Source organism: Homo sapiens, chromosome 6 (genome assembly GCF_000001405.40).
Source record: "Homo sapiens chromosome 6, GRCh38.p14 Primary Assembly".
NCBI classification, from domain to species: domain Eukaryota; kingdom Metazoa; phylum Chordata; class Mammalia; order Primates; family Hominidae; genus Homo; species Homo sapiens.
This window is the reverse complement of record NC_000006.12, coordinates 35092589-35117033: the sequence shown is the minus strand read 5'-3', so window position 1 is coordinate 35117033 and position 24445 is coordinate 35092589. Positions and strand designations below refer to the sequence as shown.

Genomic DNA, 24445 nt, shown 5'->3' with positions numbered 1-24445 from the left:
TAGATCCTAGGTAGGTGACAGAGCTAGATCAACACAATGTGACTTTTACTATGACTAGAAAAGCTGGAGGGCCTGGATCATTTGCATTTTTCGTCTTATAACTAGACAGCTTCAGGATGGGGAAGCCCAGATAAAGTGGTATGTTTAATAAACAGTGAGGCTTGCCCAGTTGGATTCTCTGATTTGTAACTATTAATTTGAATTTTTAAAAAATCCACGTTTTGGAAACCTCATTATTTTAGAGGTAAAAGTACTCTGAAGGGATTCCTGGGAAGAAGATTGTCCAGTTGGCAGGTGCAGACCCTGGACTGATAATAGAACCTTGCTTTGTACTTCACAATTAAAATAGGGACTCATCAGTACCTTAGAAAATTTGAATTTATTTTCTTATGCTTTCTCATGGAGGAGACAGGGATCTTGTCCCTAAACAAGGAAAGATAGCTCCATTCAATCCTGCCCACTGGTTTGAGGGAATTTTAAAAAAATGTATATTTGTATTTTAAATTGTGGAGAAAATACATGTAATATGAAAGCTATTAGTGACATTGAGTACATTCAGAATGTTGTACAGCCATCACGACTAACTAGTTCTAGAACATTTTCATCACCACCAAAGGAAATCCCATTCCAGTAACCAGTCACTGCCCATTTTCCCCCATTCCCTTCCCCTGGCAACCACTAATCTTTCTGTCTCAATGGGCTTTCTGACTCTGAATATTTCCTATAAATGGAATCATATAATATGTAGCTTTTTGTGACTGGCTTCTTTCACTCATTTTTCAACATTCATTTGTGTTCTAGCATGTATTGGTAGTTCATTCTTTTTATAGCTAAGTAATATTCTGTCACATGAATATACCACATTTTGCTTATCCACTCATTAGTCCATGGGTATGACTTCAGCCCTCAACTAGCTGAGAAGCCAGCAAGCCCTTAGTTTTCTCTTCTCTGGCTATGTGTACCTTTCAACATATAGAGCTGAGCATTTTGGCTTTTGTAAACAATGCCACAGTGAACACTTGGCGTTATTTACAAAACTCATACATAAGTTTTTGTTTGAACACCTGTCTTCTATGTTTTTGAGTGTCTACCCATATATCCAGGAATAGAATTGCTGAGTTCTATGGTAATCCCTGCTTAATTTATTGAGAAACTACCATTTTGAGTTAGTATTTGTATATGGTGTAAGGAACAGATCCAGCTTTATTCTTTTGTATGTGGACATCCAGTTTTCCTAGCATTATTTGTTGAAGAGACTGTCCTATTCCCATTGATGAATGGTCTTGGTCTTTGACTGTTGTCAAAAATCGATTGACCATATATGCAAGGGTTTATTTCTGGACTCTATTTTATGCCATTTATCTATATGTTTATCCTTATGCCAGTAAGATATTGTTTTGATTACTGTAAGCTTTGTAAGTTTTGAAATTAGGAAGTATAAGTTCTCCAGCTTGGTTGTTTTTCAAGATTATGTGGCTATCCCTTCCATTTCCATATGAATTTTAGGATCCATTTCTGTAAAACAGGAAGTTGGAATTTTTGATAAGGAGATATATATATATAAATTTGGGGAGTATTGCTATCTTGTCTTCCCATCCATGAACACAGAATGTCTTTTCCTTTTGTTAGGTCTTTAATTTCTTTCAGCAACCTTTTATAGTTTTCAGTGTACAAGCCTTGCACTTCCTTGGTTAAATTTATTCCTAAGTATTTTATTCATTTGGATGTAATTGTTAATAGAATTGTTCTCTTAATTTCTGTTTCGTATTGTGCATTGGCAGTGTATAAAAGTAAAACCAATTTGTTTGTTGATCTTGTACCCTGCAACTTCACTGAGTTTATTATATCAAATACTCTGTGAATTCTTTAGTATTTTCTACATATGAGATCATGTTATCTGAGAATAGGAATAGTTTTGCATTTTTTTTTCCTAATTCTGATCCCTTTTATTTATTTTTCTTGCCTAATTTCTCTGGCTAGAACTTCCAGTACAATGTCTAATAGCAGTGATAAAAGCACTTGTCTTGCATCCTGATCTTAGGGGGAAAGCTTTCAGTCATTCACCATTGAGTATACAGTTAGCTATGGATTTTTCATAAATACCTTTTATCGTGTTGAGGAAGTTGTCTTCTATTTAGTTTGCTCACAATTTTTTTTTTTAATCATGAAACGGTATTGAGTTTTTTGTTTGATTTTTTTTTTTTTCTTTTTTTGTAGATAGGGTCTCGCTCTGTCACCCAGGCTGGAGTGCAGTGGGGCGATCACGGCTTACTGTAGCCTTGACCTCCTGGCCTCAAGTGATCCTCCTGCCACAGCCTTTTGAGTAGCTGGGACTATAGGCGTGTGCCATCATGCCTGGCTAATTTTTGTATTTTTTGTAGAGATGAGGTCTCACTGTGTGGCCCACACTGGTCTCAAATTCCTGGGCCCAAAAGATCCTCCCATCTTGGCCTCCTAAAATGTTGAGATTACATGCATGAGCCACCACACTTTGCCTTGGATTTTGTCAAATGCTTTTTCTGCATCAATTGAGATAATCATATGCTTTTCTTCCTTCAGTCTATTAATGATATGTTGTTTGATTTTCTTTTTTTTTTTTTTTTTTTGAGATGGGGTTTCACTCTATCGCCCAGGCTGGAGTGTAGTGGCACGATCTCGGCTCACTGCAAACTCCGCCTCCCAGGTTCATGCCATTCTCCTGCCTCAGCCTCCCGAGTAGCTGGGACTACAGGCACCCGCCACCATGCCCGGCTAATTTCTTTTTGTATTTTTAGTAGAGACGGGGTTTCACCGTGTTAGCCAGGATGATCTCGATCTCTTGACCTCGTGATCTACCTGCCTCGGCCTCCCAAAGTGCTGGGATTACAGGCGTGAGCCACCGCACCCGGCCTTGATTTTTCTTATATTGAATCAATACTGCATTTGTGGGATAAGTCCCATTTGATCATGGTGCATAATCCTTTTAATATGCTGTTGGATTCAGTTTGCTAGTGCTTTGTGGAGGATTTTTGCATCTGTATTCATAAGAGATATTGGTCTGTAGTTTTCTTGTGGTGTCTTTGTCTGGCTTTGGAATCAAAGTAATGCTGGCCTCTTCTGTTTTTTGGGGGAGGAAGAGTTCGAGAAGGATTGGTGTTAATTCTTTAAATGAGTGGTAGAATTCACCAGTGAAGCCATGTAGTACTGGACTTTTCTTTGTTGGGAAGTTTTGATTACCAAACTCTTTACTTGTATTTAGATTCTCTTTTTCGTGCTGAATCCATTTTGGTAATTGATATGCCTAGGATTTTGTCTATTTTATCTAGGTTATCTAATTTTTTACATATGGATTGTTCATAGTATACTCTTATAATCCTTTTTGTTTTTGTAAAGTTGGTAGTAATTTCCCCACTCTTATTTCTGATTTTAATTATGTATATGTTCTCTTTTTTTCTTTTTTTTTGAGACGGAGTCTCATTCTGTCACCCAGGCTGAAGTGCAGTGGCATGATCTCGGCTCACTGCAATCTCCGCCTCACCTCCTGGGTTCAAGCGATTCTCGTGCCTCAGCTTCCCGAGTAGCTGGGATTACAGGTGCCTGCCACCACCCCCAACTAGTTTTTGTATTTTTAGTAGAGATGGGGTTTCACTATGTTGGCCAGGCTGGTCTTGAAGTCCTGGCTGCAAGTGATCTGCCTGCCTTGGCCTGAGATTACAGGCATGAGCCACCACACCCAGCTGTTGTTTTGTTTTATTTTGTTTTTTGTTTTTTTGTTTTTGTTTTTTGTTTTTTAGATGGAGTTTCACTCTTGTTGCCCAGGCTGGAGTGCAATGGCACAATGTTGGCTCACTGCAACCTCCACCTCCCAGGTTCTCAGCCTCCCGAGTAGCTGGGACTACAGGCGCATGCCACCACGCCTGGCTAATTTTTGTATTTTTAGTGGAGACAAGGTTGCACCATGTTGGTCAGGTTGGTCTCGAACTCCTGACCTCAGATGATCCACCCACCTCAGCTCCCAAAGTACTGCGATTACAGGCATAAGCCACTGTGCCCAGCCTCCAGCCTGACAGTTAATGAGTAAAAACTATCACTTTCTAGCAGGCCCAAGAACCTTAAGACTATAGGTAAAATCTAAAATCTGCCTTGATTTGGCTTCTTAGCCTCAAAAAGTTTCTAAATCTGAAATTCCTATGTGATCAATGTAGATCTTTTATCAGCATTGCATAGTTTTTAACACACAAGTTTAGTATGTATGTTGTTAGATTTACACATATGGATTTCATTTTTTGAGTGATTGCAAATGGTGTTTATTTTTTAATATTAAGCTTTGATGAAGTAAAATGGATACACAAATAATGCCCATATTTAATGGATACATCTTGATGAGTTTGGACATATGCATAGACCCATGATACTTTCACCACAAAGTACCAAACATATCCATCATTTCCAAAAACTTCCATGTGTTTTTTTGTTTTGTTTTGCTTTTTGCTAAGAACATTTAAGTTTTAGCCTCTTAACATAAAGTGCACAATACCATATTATTAACTGTAGGTACTTTGTTATACAGCGGATCTCTAGAACTTACTGATTTTGCATAACTGAAACTTTACATCTATTGGATAATTCCCCATTTTCTTCTCCCCTCAGCCCCTGGCAACCACCACCTTACTCTCTGCTTTTATGAGTTTGATTATTTTAGATACCTCATATAAGTGTAATCATGTCATATTTATCCTTAATGGTTTTTTATTTTAAATCATATTTCCACATATTCATTGCTAGTATAGAAATACAATTGCTTTTTATATGTTTATCATGTATCCTATGACCTTGCTTAACTAATTTATTCTAGTTTTTCTGTAGTTTTTTTTTGGAATTTTCTGCGTAGATGGTCATATAAGCTGCAAATAGAGACCATTTTCCTTCTTTCTGATATGAATATCTTTTATTTCTTTTTCCTGCCTTATTGCACTGGCTAGAACTTCCAGCACTTTGTTTAATAAGACTGGTGAGAGTAGACATCCTTTCCCTGTTCCCAGTCTTAGGAGGAAAAACATTGAGTCTTTCACCATTAAATATAATGTTAGCTGCAGGTTTTCTGTAGATGCTCTTTATCAAGTTGAGGAAGTTCCTGTCTGAATTAGTATTGTATTGCTATTATAACAATATACCACAAATTTAGTGCTTTAAGATAATGCAAATTTATTCTTTTATAGTTCTGGATGTGAGAAGTCTGAAATGTGTTTCATGGGCTAAAATTAATATACAGAGCTGAATTCCTTCTTGGGGCTCTAGGGATGGACATAATTGTTTCCTTTGGCTTGTGTAACAAATCATCACAAGTTAGGTAGCTTAAAACAACAGTAATATATTATTTCACAGTTCTAGAGTCCATAAATCAGCTTCATCAGGCTAAAATCAAGGTGTTGGCAGGACCATATGTCCACTGGATGCTCTAGGGAAGAATCTGTTTCTTGCCTCTTCCAGCTTCTGGTAGCTGCTGACATTCCTTGACATGTGGCCCCATTATGCCAATCTTTGCCTCCATGGTTACATGGAAATCATATGGTTCTTTTCTGTGTATACCAAATCTCCCTCTGCCTCTTATAAGAATACTTGCAATTGGATTTAGGGCACACCTTATTCCTTGGCTTGTAGCCCTTTCCTCCATGTTCAAAGCACATCACTACAACCTTTGCTGTCATCATCACTTCTCTCTTTTAGTAGCCTTTGTGACTACATCAGGCTCTTCCAGACAGGGCAAACCCTCCATCTCAAGATCTTTGATTTAATCACATCTGCAAAGTACCATTTCATATAAGGTAACATATTCACAGGTTCCGTTCATTAGGATGTGGATACATTTGGGGAGCTATTGTTCATCCTCTATTTCCATTTTTCTGAGAGTTTTTATCAAACAGGTGTTGAATTTTGTCAAACTTTTTTCTGCCTCAATTGATATATTTTTATTCTTCTTTAGTTTATTAGACTATATGTTGGATTACATTGATTGAGCTTCAAATAGTGACCAGCCTCACAGCCCTGGAACAAACTCTACTTGGTCATGATGTATAATCCTACACACATACACACACATGCACATACACAAATTCTATTTGCCAATATTTTGTTAAGGATTTTTTTGGTGCCTATATACTTGAGGGGTGTTGGTTTGTAATTTTCTTTTTTCTATTTCCTTTGTCTGGTTTTGGTATCAGGGTTATGTCAACCTCATAGAATAAATGAATCAGGAAGCATTCCCTTCTGTTTTCCAAAACAGATTGCATGGAATTGGTTTTAATTCTTTAAACATTTGATAGAATTCTCTGGTGAAATTACCTCAACTTAGAGATTTGTTTTTTTTTTAATTATGGATTCAGGCCAGCATGGCAGCTCATGCCTGTAATCTCAGCACTTTGGGAGGCCAAGGCAGGAGGATCATTTGAGCCCAGGAGTTTGAGACCAGCCTGTGCAACATATTGAGACCTGTTTTTACAAAAAATTTAAAAATTGGCCGGGTATGGTGGTGCATGCCTGTGGTCCTAGCTATCCAGGAGGCTGAGATAGGAGGGTAGCTTGAGCCTGGGAGGTCGAGGCTGCAGTGCCTGGGCGACAGAGAACCTGTCTCAGAATATAAAATAAGATAAAAAATAGAATTATAGATTCAACACTTATAAGGCTTGAATGATCTGTTTCACACTGGTTGAGTTGTGACAGTGTGTTTTTCGAGGAGTTGATCTATTTGGTCTAAGTTGTCCCATTTATATATGACAAACTCTGCATAGTATTCTCTGATTATTCTTTTGATGTTTGCAGGGTCAATAGTGATAGCCCATTTGATTTTGATATTGGTCATCTATGTTTTCTCTCGTTTTTTGGGTCAGTTTGGCTATAGGTTTCTAAATTTTATTGATATTTATATATACAAAACCAGCTCTTGGCTGGGCGTGGTGGCTCATGCCTGTAATCCCAGCACTTTGGGAGGCAGAGGCAGGTGGATCACGAGGTCAGGAGTTCAAGACTAGCCTGACCAATGTGGTGAAAGCCCGTCTCTACTAAAAGTACAAAAAATAATAATAATTAGTCGGGCGTGGTGGCACGCGCCTGTAATCCCAGCTACTCAGGAGGCTGAGGCAGAAGAATCGCTTCAGCCTGGGAGGCAGAGGTTGCAGTGAGCCGAGATTGCACCACTGCACTCAGCCTGGGTGACAGAGTAAGACTCTGTCTCAAAAAATAAAAAATAAAATAAAAGACAACAAAAAAACAGCTCTTTGTTTCATTGTTGTCTTTTTTTTTTTTTTTTGAGATGGAGTCTTGCTCTGTCACCCCAGGCTGGAGTGCAGTGGCACGATCTCGGCTCACTGCAACCTCCGCCTCCTGGGTTCAAGCAATTCTGTTGCCTCAGCCTCCTGAGTAGCTGGGATTACAGGTGTGCACCACTATGCCCAGCTAATTTTTGTATTTTTAGTAGAGATGGGGTTTCACCATGTTGGCCAGGCTGGTCTCAAACTCCTGACCTCAAGTGATCCGCCCACCTCAGCCTCCCAAAGTGCTGGGATTGCAGGTGGCAGCCACCACGCCCGGCTCATTGATTTTTTTCTATTGTTTTCTGTTTTCCATTTCACTGATTTATGATTTTATCTTTATTTTTCCTTCCTTCTGCTTATTTTGAATTTATTTTTATTTGCACTTCTTTTTCAAGATTCTTGGGAGAGGAGCTTAGATTATTGATTTGAGGCTTTTTCTCTTTTCTAATGTTTGCATTTAGTGCTATAAATGTCCCTCTCAGTGCTGCTTTGCCTTGTCCTACAAATTTTGAAATATTTTATTTTCATTCATTTTAATGTATATTTTTATTTCCCGTGAGATTGGCTCTTTGACCCACGGATTATTTAGAAGTGTGTTATTTCCAAGTGTTTAGAGAATTTCCTATCTTAATTGCTATTGATTTCTACTTTGACCCTACTGTGGTCGAAGAACACACTGTATATTATTTTAATTCTTTTTTTTTTTTTTTTGAGATGGAGTCTTGCTCTGTTGCCCAGGCTGGAGTACAGTGGCACAATCTCGGCTCACTGCAACTCTGCCTCCCAGGTTCAAGCGATTCTCCTGCCTCAGCCTCCTGAGTAGCTGGGCACACCCAACTATTTTTTTTTTTTTTTTGTATTTTTAGTAGAAATAGGGTTTCACCATGTTGGCCAAGCTGCTCTCGAACTCCTGACCTCAAATGATCCACCCATCTTGGCCTCCCAAAGTTCTGGGATTACAGGTGTGAGCCACCACACCTGGCTAGTGTATGATTTTAATTCTTCTAAATTTGTCGAGGTTAGTTTTATGGCCCAGGAAATGACCTTAGTGTATGTTCCATGGGCACTTAAAATGACCATGTGTTCTGCTGTTGTTGGCTAGATTGTTCTATAAATGTCAATGAGATCCTGTTGGTTGGTGGTGGTGTTGAATTTTTCTATCTCCTTACTTATTTTCTGTCTAGTTGTTCTATTGATTGCTGAGAGAGGTGTGTTGACATCTTCAACTATGTTTGTTGTATTAGTCTGCTCAGGCTGCTGTAACAAAATACCATGAACTGGGTGGTTTTGACAACAGAAATGTATTTCTCACAATTCTGGAGGCTGCTAACTAACTCCCTGATGAAGGTTTGGCAGGGTCAGTTGCTGGTGAGGGTCCTCTTCATGGCTTGCAGATGGTTGCTTTCTTCTATGTCAACACATGGCCTTTCTGTAATGCATATGCACGTGTGTGAGGGGAAAGAGAGAGAAAACTCTTTCTCTTCTATAAGGCCACCAATCCTATCGGGTAAGGACCCTATCCTTATGACTTCATTTAACCTTAAGTATAGGGGATCTGTCAGAGTGGTGGCAAAAACTATAGGGAAAGGACGCAGACCTTCTGAAAGGTCGGAAGGTTCTGCAGAGCCCTGGGGGAGAATAGCTGAAGGCAGCTGTTATAGATAACCCTGAGGCAGAGGGCAAGGAGTAGGTACAAGGGAGTGGGGGGAGTTTATCTTAAATAGGCTTGTTGACCAGGAACTGACCTTTTATCATCTGTGAGTGTTCCCTGAAAGGGGAACAATAAATGTTAATTATCTGCAGGTTGTGTTGGCTCCAGGTTTTTGGCATTGTGCCTGCACTGAATAAAAGCAAACAGCTCCAGGGCTGGGTGTGGTGGCTCACGCCTGTAGTCCCAGCACTTTGGGAGGCCAAGGCAGGCAGATCATGAGGTCAGGAGATTGAGGTCATCCTGGCTAACACGGTGAAACCCCGTCTCTACCAAAAATACAAAAAAATTGGCTGGGTGTGATGGCACATGCCTGTAATCCCAGCTACTCGGGAGGCTGAGGTGGAAGAGTCACTTGAACCCGGGAGGCGGAGGTTGCAGTGAGCCGAGATCATGTCATTGCATTCCAGCTCAGGAGACAGTGCGAGACTCTGTCTCAAAAAACAAACAAACAAAAAAAAGAGCAGCTCCAGCTTCTTGGGGCTGCTCTGTAGCCACTAGAGCCAAGCAGTCACCTAGCTGCTTTTACACTGCATACCTGTGTCTGAGGACTCATTTCATCCATCGGCCAGGGTCTGCGGGACAGACCTGGCAGGTGGTGCCCCACGTGAGGAACGCTGCAATGGATCGCGACAGAACCCTTGAAAACAAAAGTGAAGTGACTGCGCAGTAAGTAATTGGTGCCTGCTGGGGATTTCCAAGTTTGAGGGGATTTTCAAGCTAGGGTTTCATCATGGGACAACAGTTATAAGCTCAACAGCAACAGTATATAAAAGTATTGAAACAGCTGCTTAAAGTAGAGCCTTGGTCTCGGAGGCCCAGTTAAGGGACCTAATACAAACTTGTTTTCCCAGAAGAAGGCACACTAGACCTAGAGCTCTGGGAACAAGTGGGAAGAAATCTTAAACGACATCATGTGCAAGGGCAATGGGTACCAGTAACATCTTTAACGTTATGGGCCTTAGGGCTGCTTTGGCTCCGCTCTACACAGAAGAACCTAAAAAGGAAAGGGAGGAAGAACCATCATCTACCTTACCACCTCCTCCTCGTCCCTCAGCCCCGCCATTACCGGGTAAAGGTGCCACAGAGATTTTCCCTGAGCCCCCTCCCCCAATAAATTGGAAAAAAGACAAGAGATACACTACAGTTATGGCACCCTGTCTTAGGCAAGTGGCATTAGAAGGGGAGCTCTTGGCCTGCCTGGTGATGCAAGATCAACAAGGCAATCAGGTACATGAACCCATTACTTTCAACACTTACAAGGAAACAAGAAAAAGCATTAGAGAAAACGGAGTGCTAGCCCACGTATGAAAGGATTAATTGAGGCCATAGCAGGTAACTTCCATATGACCCCATGGGACTTATCAGTGCTAGCTAAAACAACTTTAGAGGCCAGTCAATACCTCCACTGGAGGGCAGAATATGATGAGTTGTGTGAAGAACAAGCCAACCAGAATCAATTGGCTGGGCAAAACATAACGAGGCTGCTATGCTCCAGGGGAGGGGTCCCTATGTCAATGTACAATAACAATTACATTGTCCCCCAAGCATATGTACAAGTGTCCTTATGCACCTGCAGGGCTTGGGACCGAATTCCCGAAGGCAGAGTTCAACAGGGATCTTTTGTAAATGTTCGACAAGGGCCTCAGGAGCCATTTGTTGAATTTATCAGTCGGTTAACCCAGGCAATTAAGAGACAAATTAGTCATGCCCAGGCCACTGATATTGTTGCAATTGGCTTATGAAAATGCTCATATAGAACAGCTGTCTTCAGCTAGTCTCCCCTGGGGCTCTGCAAAACCTTCTGACCTTTCAGAAGGTTTGCGTCCTTTCCCTATAGTTTTTCCCACCACTCTGACCGATCCCCCCACACTTAATTACTTCCTAAAAACCTCATCTCCAAGTATAGTCATATTGGAGGTTAGGGCTTCAACATATGAATTTGGGAGGGATACAGTTCAGTCCATGACATTTGTAGACTTGTTTACATTTCTCAGTTCAGTCAGTTTTTCCTTCACATGTTTTGCAGCTCTTTTGTTTAGTGCATACACATTTAGGATTGCTATGTCTTCTTGATTCATTGACCCTTTTATCATTATATAATGCTCGTTGTCTCTTGTAGTTTTCTCTGCTGTGAAGTGTACTTTATGAGCTGTTAATATAGTCACTCCTGGCTGGGCATGGTGTCTCACACCTGTAATCCCAACATTTGGGGAGGCCAAGGCTGGAGGATTGCTTGAGCCCAGGAATTTGAGGCTGCAGTGAGCTGTGATTGTGCCGCTGCAGTGAGCTGTGATTGTGCCACTGCACTCTAGCCTGGGTGACAGAATGAGACCTTGTCTCCCCAAAAATAATAAAGTTCCTCTTGCTTTCCTTTGATTAATGTTTGCATAATATATCTATCTTTTTACTTTCAACTTGCCTATATTGTTATTTGAGGTGAGTTTCTTATAGACATCATATAGTTGGTTCATGCTTTTTAATCTACTCTGTCAATCTCTTTATTTATTTTTGAGACACGGTCTCACTCTGTTGCCTGGGCTGGAGTGCAGTGGTGCAACCTCAGCTCACTGGAACCTCCACCTCCCAGGTTCAAGCAATTCTCATGCCTCAGCCTCCTCAGTAGTTGGGATTACAGGCACGCACCACCACACCCAGCTAACTTTTGTATACTTAGTAGAGATAGGGTTTCAACATGTTGGCCAGGCTGGCCTTGAACTCCTGACCTCAAGCGATCTGCCCACCTCAGCCTCCCAAAGTGCTAACATTACAGGCATGAGCCTCTGCACCCGGCCTCAATCTCTTTTAATTGGTGTTTTATACCATTTACATTTAATATAATTATGATATATTGGGGCTTAAGTGTGCCATTTTATATTATTTTCTAGTTATCCTGTTTTTTATTCTTTTGCCTGCTTCTTTGTGAGTTACCTGACCAATTTTTAAAAACCAATTTTGATTTACCTAGACAGTGTTTGAGTATATCTCTTTGCATAACTTTTTAGTGGCTGTCTTGGATATTTATATACACACATAAAACTTGTCAAAGTCTATTGGTGTCACCATTTACCAATTGAGGAAAGCATAGAAGCCGTACCTCCCTGTATGTCCCTTTATATCACGTTACCCTCTCCGCTTAAAGTAAAATTGTCTTAAATATTTCCTTTACATACATTTAGAACCACATTAGACAGTGTTATGATTTTTGCTTCAACCATCAAGCATCATTTAGAAAACTCTAGAGAAGGAGAGTCTAGTGTATTTACCCATATTTTTGCTTAAATGTTCATTCATCCTTCCTGATGTTCCAAGTTTCCTTCTTTTATCATTTCCATTCCTTCTTTTTCACCACTGGGCATGGTGGCTCACGCCTGTAATCCCAGCACTTTGGGAGGCTGAGGTGGGTGGATCACTTGAGGTCAGGAGCTCGAGACCAGCCTGGCCAACATGGTGAAACCCTGTCTCTACTAATAATACAAAAATTAGCTGGGCGTGGTGGTGCGTGCCAGTAGTTCCAGCTACTCAGGAGGCTAAGGCACAAGAATCACTTGAACCCAGGAGGTACAGGTTGCAGTGACCGAAGATCATGCCACTTCATTCCAGCCTGGGCAACAGAGTGAAACTGTCTCTCTCTCTCTCAAAAAAAAAAAAAAAAAAAAACCCAAAATTTTTTTCACCAATGTTTTAGGGTAGATCTGCTCCTGACGAAGTTCCTTAGTTTTCCTTCATCTGCGAATGTCTTGATTCCCCTTCCTTCCTAAAGAATATTTTTGCAGGCTATAGGCTTTTTCTTTCAGCACCTGAAAAATATTGTGCTAATTTCTTCTGGCCTCCACGGTTTCTGAGGAGAAATCCGGTCATTCAAATTGCTTTTCCCATATAGGTAAGGTGTCATTTTTCTCTAGCTGCTTCCATGAATTTTTTTTTTTTTTGTCTTTCATTTTCAGAAATTTAATTTTGAGGTATCTTGGTGTGAATTTCTTTGGGTTGTCAACCTAAATAATAGAGGTGCTCTAAAAGGAAATGATATTCATTCAGGAATAGGGCATTACAATGAGAATATGCATGCGATAGTAAACTATGTGCATATTAAAGGAAGAAAAAGGTTTCTAAAGAAAAAAATGAGGATTATAAAATCCTTTTAAGATAATTATCCTAGCCAAGTGTGGTGGCTCATGCTTGTAATCCCTGCACTTTGGGAGGCTGAGGCAAAAGGATCACTTGAGCCCAGGAGTTCTAGACCACCCTGGACAATGTGGTGAGAACCCATCTCTACAAAAATAAAAATAAATTAGTGGGGCATGGTGGCATGTACCTGTACTCCTAGCTACTTGGGAGGCTAAGGTGGGAGGATTGCTTGAGCCCAGGAGTTTGAGGTTGCAGTGAGATATGATCACAGCATTGCACTCCAGACTGGAGACAGGGAGAGACCCTGTCTCAAAAGGAAAAGAAATAAAAAATAAAAAAAAAATTATCCTTGGCTACAAGGGTCAATAACAAGGGTGTGCCAGTTCAAGGTTGGACAGTCAGTTGTTGAGCAGATGTCCTCACAGAAGTATTTTTTGTGTGGTTGTGATGGCTTTTGTGTAACGTGGTTTTTGCAGTCTTTTGTAATAGTTTTTGTTATCAGGTATTTATGTATGACCCTTCTCTTCATGGCCTACCTTGGCTCTATTTTTCAGAGTTTTTTTTTTTTTTTAAACATAAGTAACTCCATTTTAATTCTGATAACTTTCACATTTCTCCCTTTTGATCAAATTCTTTCTCTAAAAGCATCAGTGATCAATCATTCTGTAGTTAGATTTTGATGTCCCTCAGTGCCAGGATGAACCTGTCCCAGGTTACTGGTTTGGTTCTGCATTAGAAGGAGTTTTGGCAAGTAGGAGTAAGTGTCAAAACCTTTTTAGCCACATTTGAGCAACAAGGGAGGTTTGAGGGAGTGGTTGTCAGATTAAGTCTACCTGGAGTCCATTATTAAGTTCAATTTGTCTGTTCCTGTAGTCTTGCTATCATCTCAAAGTGCTGGACCAGCATTTCTGGTTAGAAGCATATTATGTTAGGAGTTGTACTTCTGCAAAAATTTGACAAGTAACATAACAGATACACAGTTTAAAAAGGGAAAATACAAAGTAAAATTCATAGTAATGACAATCTCAGTTTGCATAATGGTTTTGAGCCATTAAACCAGGCTTAAAAAGGCAACCAGTTGTGTAAATCAAATGACCATTATCCTGTCAAGTGAAAATGGCAGGCAGTAAGAGGGTAAGCGTCTCATGATACTGAATCTTATGGAAAAGCTGTCTATAGTGTGAGAACGTCAACTTCTCATCTCAGCTTGTAGTTTGAATGTCTTTGGTTATGGCATCAGGTGGTTTGCTGAACTTTTTTTGTGGCCTATAAATCTGGCATGACATTTGTTTCTTAAAATTAATCTAGTTTCAGCTCATAGGGCTTTAAGAATAGAATGGTAGAGTAGCTGGAAGAATTTTTAATAATTAATTTTTTTTTAATTCCATGGAAGAAAGTTAGATTGGAAGAATCAGGAAGAATTTAGGTTTAGGATCTAGTCTAGATTATAGGTAGAAAATAAGAACTTGAAAACAATGCATAGAGCTAGAATCTAACAACAGGTATGTTGCAGCATTTTTTTTTCTTTTTTTTCTCTTGAGATGGAGTCTTGCTCTGTTGCCCAGGCGGAAGTGCAGTGGTGTGATCTTGGCTCACTGCAACCTCCGCCTCCAGAAGAAGCAATTCTTCTGCCTCAGCCTCCCAAGTAGCTGGGACTACAGGTGATCGCCACCACGCCCAGCTATTTTTTTTTTTTTTTTTGAGACGGAGTTTTGCTCTTTTTCCCAGGCTGAAGTGCAGTGGTGCGATCTCTGCTCACTGCAACCTCTGCCTTCTGGTTTCAAGTGACTCTCCTGCCTCAGCACCCCGAGTAGCTGGGATTACAGGCACCAGCCACCACACCAGGGTAATTTTTGTATTTTTAGTAGAGATGAAGTTTCACCATGTTGGCCAGGCTGGTCTCGAACTCCTGACCTCGTGATCCTCCCACCTTGGCCTCCCAAAGTGCTGGGATTAAGGTGTGAGCCACCTCGCCTGGCCAATTTTTTGTATTTTTTAGTAGAGACAGGGTTTCACCGTGTTAGCCAGGATGGTCTAGATCTCCTGACCTCGTGATCTGTCCGCCTTTGCCTCCCAAAGTGCTGGGATTACAGGCGTGAGCCACCACCCGTGGCCTTTTCTTTTTTGAGACAGGATCTTACTTCGTCACCCAGGCTGGAGTGCAGTGGTGCGATCATAGCTCACTGCAGCCTCAGCCACCTGGGCTCAGTGATCCTCCCACCTCTGCCTCCTGAATAGCTGGGACTACAGGCACGCACCACCACACCCAGCTAATTTTTTGTATTTTTGTAGAGATGAGGTTTTGCCATGTTGCCCAGACTGGTCTTGAACTCCTGGGCTCAAGCAATCCATCTGCCTCAGCCTCCCAAAGTGCTGAATTACAAGCATGAGCCACAGTGCCTGGCTGTAGCATTTCTTTAGAAACGTAACTTTTTCTTTCTACATTGATCACATAGGAATTTCAGATTTAGAAACCTTTTGAGGCTAAGCCAAATCAAGGAAGATTTTACATTTTACCTATAGCCTTAAAGTTCTTGGGCCTGCTAGAAAGTGACAATTTTTACTCATTAACTATCAGGCTGGAGGCTGGGCACAGTGGCTCATGCCTGTAATCCCAGCACTTTGGGAGCCGAGGTGGGTGGATCACCTGAGGTCAGGAGTTCGAGACCAGCCTGACCAACATGGTGAAACCCCATCTCCACTAAAAATACAAAAACTAGCCAGGCGTGGTGGCACATGCCTGTAATGCCAGCTACTCAGGAGGCTGAGGCAGGAGAATCGCTTGAACCCAGGAGACGGAGGTTGTAGTGAGCCGACACCGCACCATTGCACTCCAGCCTGGACAACAAGAGTGAAACTCCGTCTCAAAAACAAAACGAAACTATCAGGCTGGGAACCCTTGAAGGGCATTCTATGTTCTCAAATACGACGTTCCAGTCAGAGCCTTGGTAATATAACCAATATTTTCAATCGCACTCTATAAAAAAAAGAGCAAATTTTTATTGAACTTATGTGCATAACCATGTTGCCATAAAAAAATAAGAATACTCCCAAGTAGTTTCTAAATTTTGGAGGAATCAAGTAGGGAAGAAAAGAAAATTCTTCCATGTTTCTTCACAAAAGTATATTTTACCAAACTCTAAAGAGAAAAAATTTCCTTAAACTTGAAAATGAAACATTTAAGGAAAGAACCAATAATATTTTACATAAAAGTAACAAGAAAGTCCAGGTGCAGTGGCTCATACCTGTAATCCCAGCACTTTGGGAGGTTGAGGCAGGTGGATCACCCAAGGTCAGGAGTTTGAGACCAGCCTGACCAACATGGTGAAACCCCGTCTCTAATAAAAATACAAAAATTAGCCAGGCGTGGTGGCACGTGCCTGTAATCCCAGCTACTTGGGAGGCTGAGCAGGAGAATCACTTGACCTGGGAGGTGGAGGTTGCAGTGAGCTCAGATCACGCCACTGCACTCCAGCCTGATCGACAGAGCGGGACTCTTGGGGGAAAAAAAATAAAAAATGTAACCAAAACATTACCATCATCAGTGTTACTTAATCTTATGTAATTAATTTTTTTCTGCTTGATCTTGATTAGCAGTTTCATGAATTCAAGTCTCTTCATTAGAGTTCTGAAAAAATTTTATTTAGTCTTGATCTTATAGTTATTAGTAACCTAGACTGAAGAGTTTTGTTACAGTCTTTTCTGTGAATCTGATTGCAGATATCTTTAGAAAAAATCAAAACTGTTGATGACAGAGACTTAGAATAATCATGATTAAAAATTGGATGGAAATTGGTTATAATCAGCAATTGACAAGGAAATTTGGCTATGTTCTGGCTTATGACATAATAACCAGATTTATGACTGATAAATTAGATTTCTAAGAGTTTTATACAATTTTGGAAGATTCTTATCAATAACTTATCCATTCATGTAACTAAAAGAAGATCTTGCCTCACTTACTATTTGACAAGGTTTCCCAAACCATTTTCTAAATAATCCTAATTTTAGTAGCTCTAACATTCTTTTACCTTCTCTGGGGCCCAATTGGAAAATCCCAAAGTTAAATCTAGCTTAAAAAGACTTAAGTTAGAATTTTGATATTGGGGAAGCCCATCAAAGATGCCAAAAGATATAAAGCACTTGATCAAAACAGGATCATATGGCACAGTGAAATAATAGTCATGCGTTTAACCACAGTGGTAATCAAGACTTCAGAAGAAATAGAGAAAATTATATGGATGTAAAAACAATCCTTTCAAAGCTCAGTTTTCTTAAGTAATAAAAAAAACCTATTAAAGACAGTATAGGAATTTATCTTGGTAAAACATAAAATCTTTAGATTTTATTTATTTTTATTTTTTTTTTTGAGACAGGGTCTCACTCTGTCACCTAAGCTGGAGTACAATGGCACAATTTTGGCTCACTGCAACCTCTGCCTCCTGGGCTCAAGTGATCCTCCCACCTTAGTTCCCTGAGTGGCTGGGACTACAGGTGTGCACCACCATGCCCAGGTAATTTTTGTAATTTTTTTATACAGATGGGGTTTCGCCATGTCACCCAGGCTGGTTTCAAACTTCCAAGCTGAAGCGATCCACTCACCTTGGCCTCCCAAAGTGCTGGGATTACAGACGAGAGCCACTGCACCTGGCCCAAGATTCTTTCTCATACAAAATTATTCTTTTTAACTTACTTACGAAAAATACTCTTCATACCTATAACTTTCTTCATATCTCTCTCCCCTAGTTACCGATTCCTTTCTACCTTGTTTCTAGTTCCTTTCTAAATTTACTTTTTGAAATTACCTTTAAATAATCTCCAAATTAGACAAAATTATTCTTTTTTTCTCAAAGAGAAAAAACCATTTTATAATTTTTAGAAACATGTTTCCCCATAATTTTTAATGTGTACTAACGGGCCAAAATATATTTAATCTTTCTATAAAATTTAAGAAGCAGGAACAAAAATATTTATGTTCAGTCATTTGTTTCAGTTTTTTATCTTATTTGGAAATGACCCAGACATTTAATGAACATCTATCATTTAATTGAATTAAGCATAATTTTAGATTTCCAATTAGCCAGGTGTGGTGGCACACACCTGTAATCCCAGCTATTTGGGAGGCTGAGGCAGGAGGATTGCTTGAGCCCAGGAGTTTGTGAACAGCCTGGCTACATAGTAAGATGCCACATTAAATAAAAAATAAAAATAAATACACTTTAAAAGATTTTAAATTACATGAAAAGTTCATGTATAAATGTTTTTCCTCTTTATATTTACATGATGTATTTATGTTTAACAGTTTACCTAGATTACTTATGAAAACTGAGGTATTAGACAAAGCTTGTCATCATTTCAAGTTATTTCTCTGTTAACCATTTTTATAGCCTCTGAATATCAAGTGTTCACCTAAGAAATTTAAATATATGGGTATTTTGTTGATAACACAGGAGATACAGCTGATTTTATGAAACCAACAATATTAAATTAGCCTTATTTACCAAAGGGTTACACAAAGATTATTCTGTTTTTAAGCTGAATTTACAGTTTAATATCTAAGAGACCAGCATGCAGCCAAAAATGCATACCGACTATTTTGAAGACATTTCTATTTTTATGTTACCAATAATTTAAAAACTAGCTTATTTATTAAAGATTTACTTCTAAAAGGCATTTGGGTTAATTACTATATATTTTCTATGAGTGCTCATTTATCTAAGCTAATCTGAATAGAATTCCCTCAGGGATTTCTGGCTGATTATGTCAGATTTTACCATGTAGACACAACATATATAATACATGTATATATGCATAAATACACCAGATGCTTACACACGCACACAAATCTTATAGCTTTCATTTTAAAATTTTAGTCATGAGAGAGTAATACAAACTCACCAGTTTATAAAAGATGGTTGCATCCAACTTACGCTTCTGACAAAATGGGACCTGTTCACATGGCTAAATTTTGCTCCAATAACTAATCCAGTGAAAGCTGTGGAACAAAATTTTCGTAAACAGTTTAGCTTTTTAAAATCTCTTCATCCTTTTCCTTTTTTCTGTTTCAAAGAGTTTGGGGGTAACTCTTCAGTGTTTGCATTTTAACTAAGACCAACTGAACTGTATAAGAAGAACAGTCTCCAAGTGGCCTTGAATTAGCAGCAAATTTATCTTTTGTTTGCTGGTCTGGTTTACTTGAATAATCAACGTGGATGGGCAAGCATTTTGGCTGTGTGTGTGTGTGTATGTGTTTTTTTTTTTTTTTTTTTTTCTTTTGGCTTTTTCTGGTGCCTTGTGTCAGACTTAAGCAGTTTTTATGCTGGACAGAGAAACCTTATATTATTACTCTGAGCTAATGATTGTCACCTGTTTGGTCTAGAAGCCCAATTTTTTTTTTTTTGAGACGGAGTCTGGCTGTGTCACCCAGGCTGGAGTGCAGTGGCATGATCTCAGATCACTGTAATCTCTGCCTCCTGGGTTCAAGCGATTCTCCCGCCTCAGCCTCCCAAGTAGCTGGGATTACAGGCACCTGCCACCATGCCCGGTTAATTTCTGTATTTTTAGTAGAGATAGGGTTTCACCATGTTGGCCAGGTTGGTCTCAAACTCCAGACCTCAAGTGAGCTGTCTGCCTCGGCCTCCCAAAGTGCTGGGATTAAACCTGGCCCTGAGAACCTAACTTTTATAAGCATTTACCTAGTTCTTTTTCTTGTAGACTATTAATCCTTCAATTAACTGTTCTATCACCTTAAGTGGTTGTTAGACAAACCTAAATTTACATTTACAAAAGGTGTCTAGGTTGTTGGCTGCCATGAAGCTGTTGTAATTTGTAAAGCCATTAATTTGAAAGACCTTTAAGATAAAAAAAAAAAAATTGGCTGGAATGCCATTAGAAGAGAGTGTTATCTCAACACCAGCAGAAAAGTTAGCAGATTCAAAGTAGAGATCTTAGAAGGATCCATATGTTAACATTGTAGTTGGAGGGTTTGTGTGTGTTTTTTTTTTCTTTTTTAGAGGGTTTGACTAATGACCATTGAGCTCTGAATTTTCCTTCACGTAATTTGCCCATCAGTTAAAAAATATGCATAAGAATGGGCCATATTATATAGCTGGCTGGAGCCTCAGAAAACCTGGCATGCCTTAGCGTTTGTGAATCCCATTCCATTTCTTATTAATCTCTCAAGAGCAAAGATAATCCTGTAAATCCACCAGAGAATGTCAGGCGTCTGGACTGGTATTTTAGATCATGGCAACTGCCCTCATGGCTTTTAATTAGTCATCCACTAGTGTCTGCCATTTGGAATGTTTATTTTTGCTCTTGGAGAATTTCCAGAAATCAGCAAAGGAAAAGGGCCAAATCATTTACAGACACGCATAACCAAACCAAAATGAGACCAAAATTAGTGTTCACAATACTTTTAACCCAGGTGTGCAGATTAAACACACTATTAAATTAGGCATGCAGGAAGAACCAAAAGTAAATTCTCCAGAAAAGACTTGCCTCACAGATAGGATATAAATTCTGTAGAAACCAGAGCACTCAAACCAGAAGGGCCCTTGTCCTCATCCCAGAAAGGACTTTCCAGAAAGGACAAAAAGTCTTTTATCATCCCAGGAGGGAGGGATGTAGTGTCCTTTATTAAAGACAGACTTGTAACTGAAACAAATCCTCTATAAAGTGAAAAACAACTCACCAAAGAGAGGGAGTCTGAGAATCCTACAGGAGATTCACCTGGCTGGAAAAGGCAACTCATGAAGATGGAGAGCACAAAGGGCTCAGTCAGAATACACTCAGTTTCAGGGGCCTCTGATTCTTCTGAAGTGAGCCTGCCTCATCCCACTTCTGACAACATTTATGTCAATCTCAATAACAAATGGAGTGAGGCCCTCTAATAAAAGAAAATGATATTTATTTGGTAATAAGGTATTGCAATGGGAATACATGTGTGATAGTAAACCATGTGCATATTCAGGGACCTGAAGGAAGACAGAGGTTTTCAAAGGAAAAATGAGGATTACATAATTGTTTTGAGATAATTATCCTTGGCTACAAGGATCAATAACAACGGTGGGGCCAGTTTGGGGTTGGACAGTCAGTTGCTGAGCAGATGTCCTTGCAGAAGTATTTTTTTGGTATAAGGTTGTGATGGTCTTTGTGCTAGGTTCTAGTTTTCAAAAGGTTGTGGTCTTTTGTAATAATAGTTTTTGTTACCAGGCATTTATGCATGAGAACTGTCTCTCCAGCTTTTTTTTTTTTTTTAACACAAAAGTGACTGTTTTTTTTGTTGTTTTTTGTTGTTTCTCTCTTTCTTTCTCTCTTTCTTTCGTCTTTCCTTTTTTTTTTTTTTTTTTTGTGACACAGTCTCCCTCTGTTGCCCAGGCTGGAGTGCAGTGGCGCAATCTTGGCTCACTGCAACCTCCACCTCCTGGGTTCAAGCAATTATCCTGCCTCAGCCTCCTGAGTAGCTGGGATTATAGGCATGCACCGCCATGTCTGGCTCATTTTTTGGGCTTTTATCATGTTGGCCAGGCTGGTCTCGAACTCTTGGCCTCACGTGATCCACCTGTCTCAGCCTCCCAAAGTGCTGGGATTATAGGCATGAGTCACCATGCCCGGCCAGAAATGACTTTTAATTCTAACCACTTTCGCAGAGTTTATCTGGTTTGGGATTTGCTTGGCTTCTTGAATCTGAAGGCTTATGTTTGTTGCCAAATTTTGGAAGTTCTCAGGCATTATTTTTTTCAGTGCTTTTTTTTTTTTTTTTTTTGAGATGGGGGTCTCACTCTGTTGCCCAGGCTGGAGTGCAGTGGTGTGATCACAGGTCACTGCAGCCTCGACCTCCTGGGCTCAAGCAATTCTGCCACCTCAGCCTCCAGAGTAGTTGGGACTACAGGCACACACCATCACGCCCAGCTAATTTTAAAGTTTTTCTGTAGAGACAGGGTCCCACTATGTTGCCCAGGCTGGTCTTGAGCTCCTGGACTCAAGCAATTCTCCCACTTCGCCTTCCAAAGAGTTAGGATTACAGACATGAGCCACAATACCCGGCCTCGAGTATTTTCTTAGCCTCTTTTTCCCTCTTCTTCGTTGACACAATGTTAGATCTTTTGTTATGGTCACACAGGTCCCTGAGATGCTGTTCATTTTTTTCAATCTGTTTTCTCTCTGTTGTTCAGATTGGGTAATTTCTGTTGTTTTGTTTCCCAGTTTATGGTGCATTCTTTCCTTTCCCATCCACTCCACTCTTAAGCCCATCCACTGATTTTGGTTATTGTATTTTTTTAGTTCTAGAATTTCCAATAGGTTCTTTATATCTTTTATTTCTTTGCTCAGACATTTGACTTTTTCTTTTGCTACAAGTGTGTTTATAATTATTTGTTGAAACTTTCTTATGGCTGCTTTAAAATATTTGTCAGATAATTCTAATATCTGTCCATCTTGGTGCTGATATCTTTTTTTTTTTTTTTTCCAGACGAAGTCTCACTCTTTTGCCCAGGCTAGAGTGCAGTGACGCAATCTCGGCTCATTGCAACCTCTGCCTCCCCAGGCTCAAGCCATTCTCCTGCCTCAGGCTTCCGAGTAGCTGGGACTACAGGTTTGTGCCACCATGTCTGGCTAAGTGTTGATATCTATTGATTACTGCCTTTTAAATTCAGATTGAGAGTTTTCTGGATATTGGTATGATAAGTGATTTTCTATTGAAACTTGGACATTTCTGTTTCTCATTCTTATTTAAACCTTCTCTTTTAGCTGACTTTGACACCACTCTAGCAAGGGAAAAGGAAATAGCATACTACTGCCAGGTTGGGGGTCAAAGCCCAGCTTCCCCACCTGGCCTCCACTGACACCTGAGGTGGGAGGCTGCTTGTTACTGCTGGGGTGCCGTGGCACTCCCGGCTGCCCCTGTAGTTTCCACTGACTCCCAAGGCGGGAGCAGCATCACAATCACTGGGCGCTGGTGAGCGTTCTGTCTCTTCACCAGGCCCCCTCTGACAACATGCGTGAGGTTGTTGGGCACCTCATTATAGCTTTGTGAGGGCAGAGGTCTTGGCCTTTGCTGATCTGGGTGGGGCCCCATTTTTCCTGTGGTGCTTGGCTGGAGTAGAGCAGTTATTTATTGTCTAAATTTTCTGTCTTGCTAAGCTGCCCCTTTCCTGGTCCTCTGGCTGGGAAGAACAGGTTTTTGTCTGTGCCCACTGGTGTTTCCACTGGGGGTTTTAATCGTACTTAGTGGGAAGAGCAGGGAAAAGAGCATCTACTGATCTTCCGAGACATAGGCGTTAGTTTACTTTTGATAGCTGTTGTCAAGGTGTCCTTGTTACATGTGGTGCACATGTTAGTTTTCCATTGTTTCTTTTTCTCAAAGGTGCATTTTGCTATGCAGAAATGTTTAGTTTTTATAGACTCAAATATATTAATCCTTTTTAAAAAATGGATTCAGGGTTTTATAACGTTTGGAAAGGCCTTTCTCAAACCACGCTTATTAAAAAAAAGCCTCCCATTTTCTTCTAGCTTTGAGTTTTGTTTGTTTTTTTGTTTTTACATTTAAATATGTGAGCCATCTGGAATTTATTTTGGCATAAGTTGGAACAGGAATCTCCCTGCACTCCCTCCTCCTTGGCTGCCCAATTGTCCCAGCTCCATTTACTGAGTAATAAATATTTTATGGTGTTAGGAAAATTCTATTTGGTAAATAGTTGTTTATAATAGTGTTCCTAACAGCCGAATCCTGAAAAAAGCGGTCTCAAAGTCGTAGAGGCTGCACGGAGGAAGGGATGGTTCAGACTTTAGCTTTCCTTGTTGTTAGTTGATGACAGTGGGTGCAGTGTGAGCCCCAGGCTGAACTGCATGACACACTAGATAGTCGGCCTGTCCCTATTTATGGGACTTGGATACCCTCTGGGTTCAGGAAGTCAGGGGTGGCCATGGCTGACTAGAGGGTGTTTTGAGCTGCCTTGGAAAGTGCTCCAGCTTGAAAGTTCCTCCTCCGTGGCCTGGTCATTGCTGAGGATTGATCTATCCCAATTTTCAGTAGTAACAACCCAGCTGTCTAGGAGCCTGAGCATCTGTGAAGGGGAGGCTCATGAGGATGTGGAGGAGTATGACAGAAATGAGCCCCTGAAGGGGGAGAAAGGAATGAGTGGAAGAGGCCAGGGATTGTGCCTCACACAGAGGCAGAATGTGTAAGGTGGTCCCAGAAGGGATGATGATAGCAGCTATGTGTCCTGGTGCCCTGATGACACTAGTTATGACCTGACCTTTCTCTTCTGGCTGTCAGGTTTCTTCTGCTTAGGAAAGAGCGCCATAGCCAGGGAGCCAA

General features: G+C 40.3%; 1 protein-coding gene across 4 annotated transcripts in view, besides 2 other annotated features; it reads right to left on the bottom strand.

Annotated features, from left to right (window-relative positions):
- Positions 9634-9803: an enhancer, noted in NCBI's record as "active region_24395". NCBI's record gives its function as "activates an Ori minimal core promoter by ATAC-STARR-seq in GM12878 lymphoblastoid cells {active_cell/tissue: GM12878}" and the evidence as "EXISTENCE:reporter gene assay evidence [ECO:0000049][PMID:35858748]".
- Positions 19044-24445, bottom strand: part of ANKS1A (ankyrin repeat and sterile alpha motif domain containing 1A) — a 208736-nt gene continuing 203334 nt past the window's right edge. Inside the window, exon 25 of one of the 4 annotated variants that reach the window (XM_011514431.4) lies at positions 19044-19120. In XM_011514431.4, coding sequence (XP_011512733.1) covers positions 19087-19120 — 34 coding nt within the window. In that variant the 3' untranslated portion in view covers positions 19044-19086. The remainder of the gene's footprint in view (positions 19121-24445) is intronic. The other 3 variants (XM_011514434.4, XM_011514432.4, XM_011514435.4) reach the window with 3 other exon arrangements.
- Positions 20336-20536: a silencer, noted in NCBI's record as "peak5763 fragment used in MPRA reporter construct". NCBI's record gives its function as "represses an SCP1 promoter by STARR-seq MPRAs in K562 erythroleukemia cells {active_cell/tissue: K562}" and the evidence as "EXISTENCE:reporter gene assay evidence [ECO:0000049][PMID:32103011]".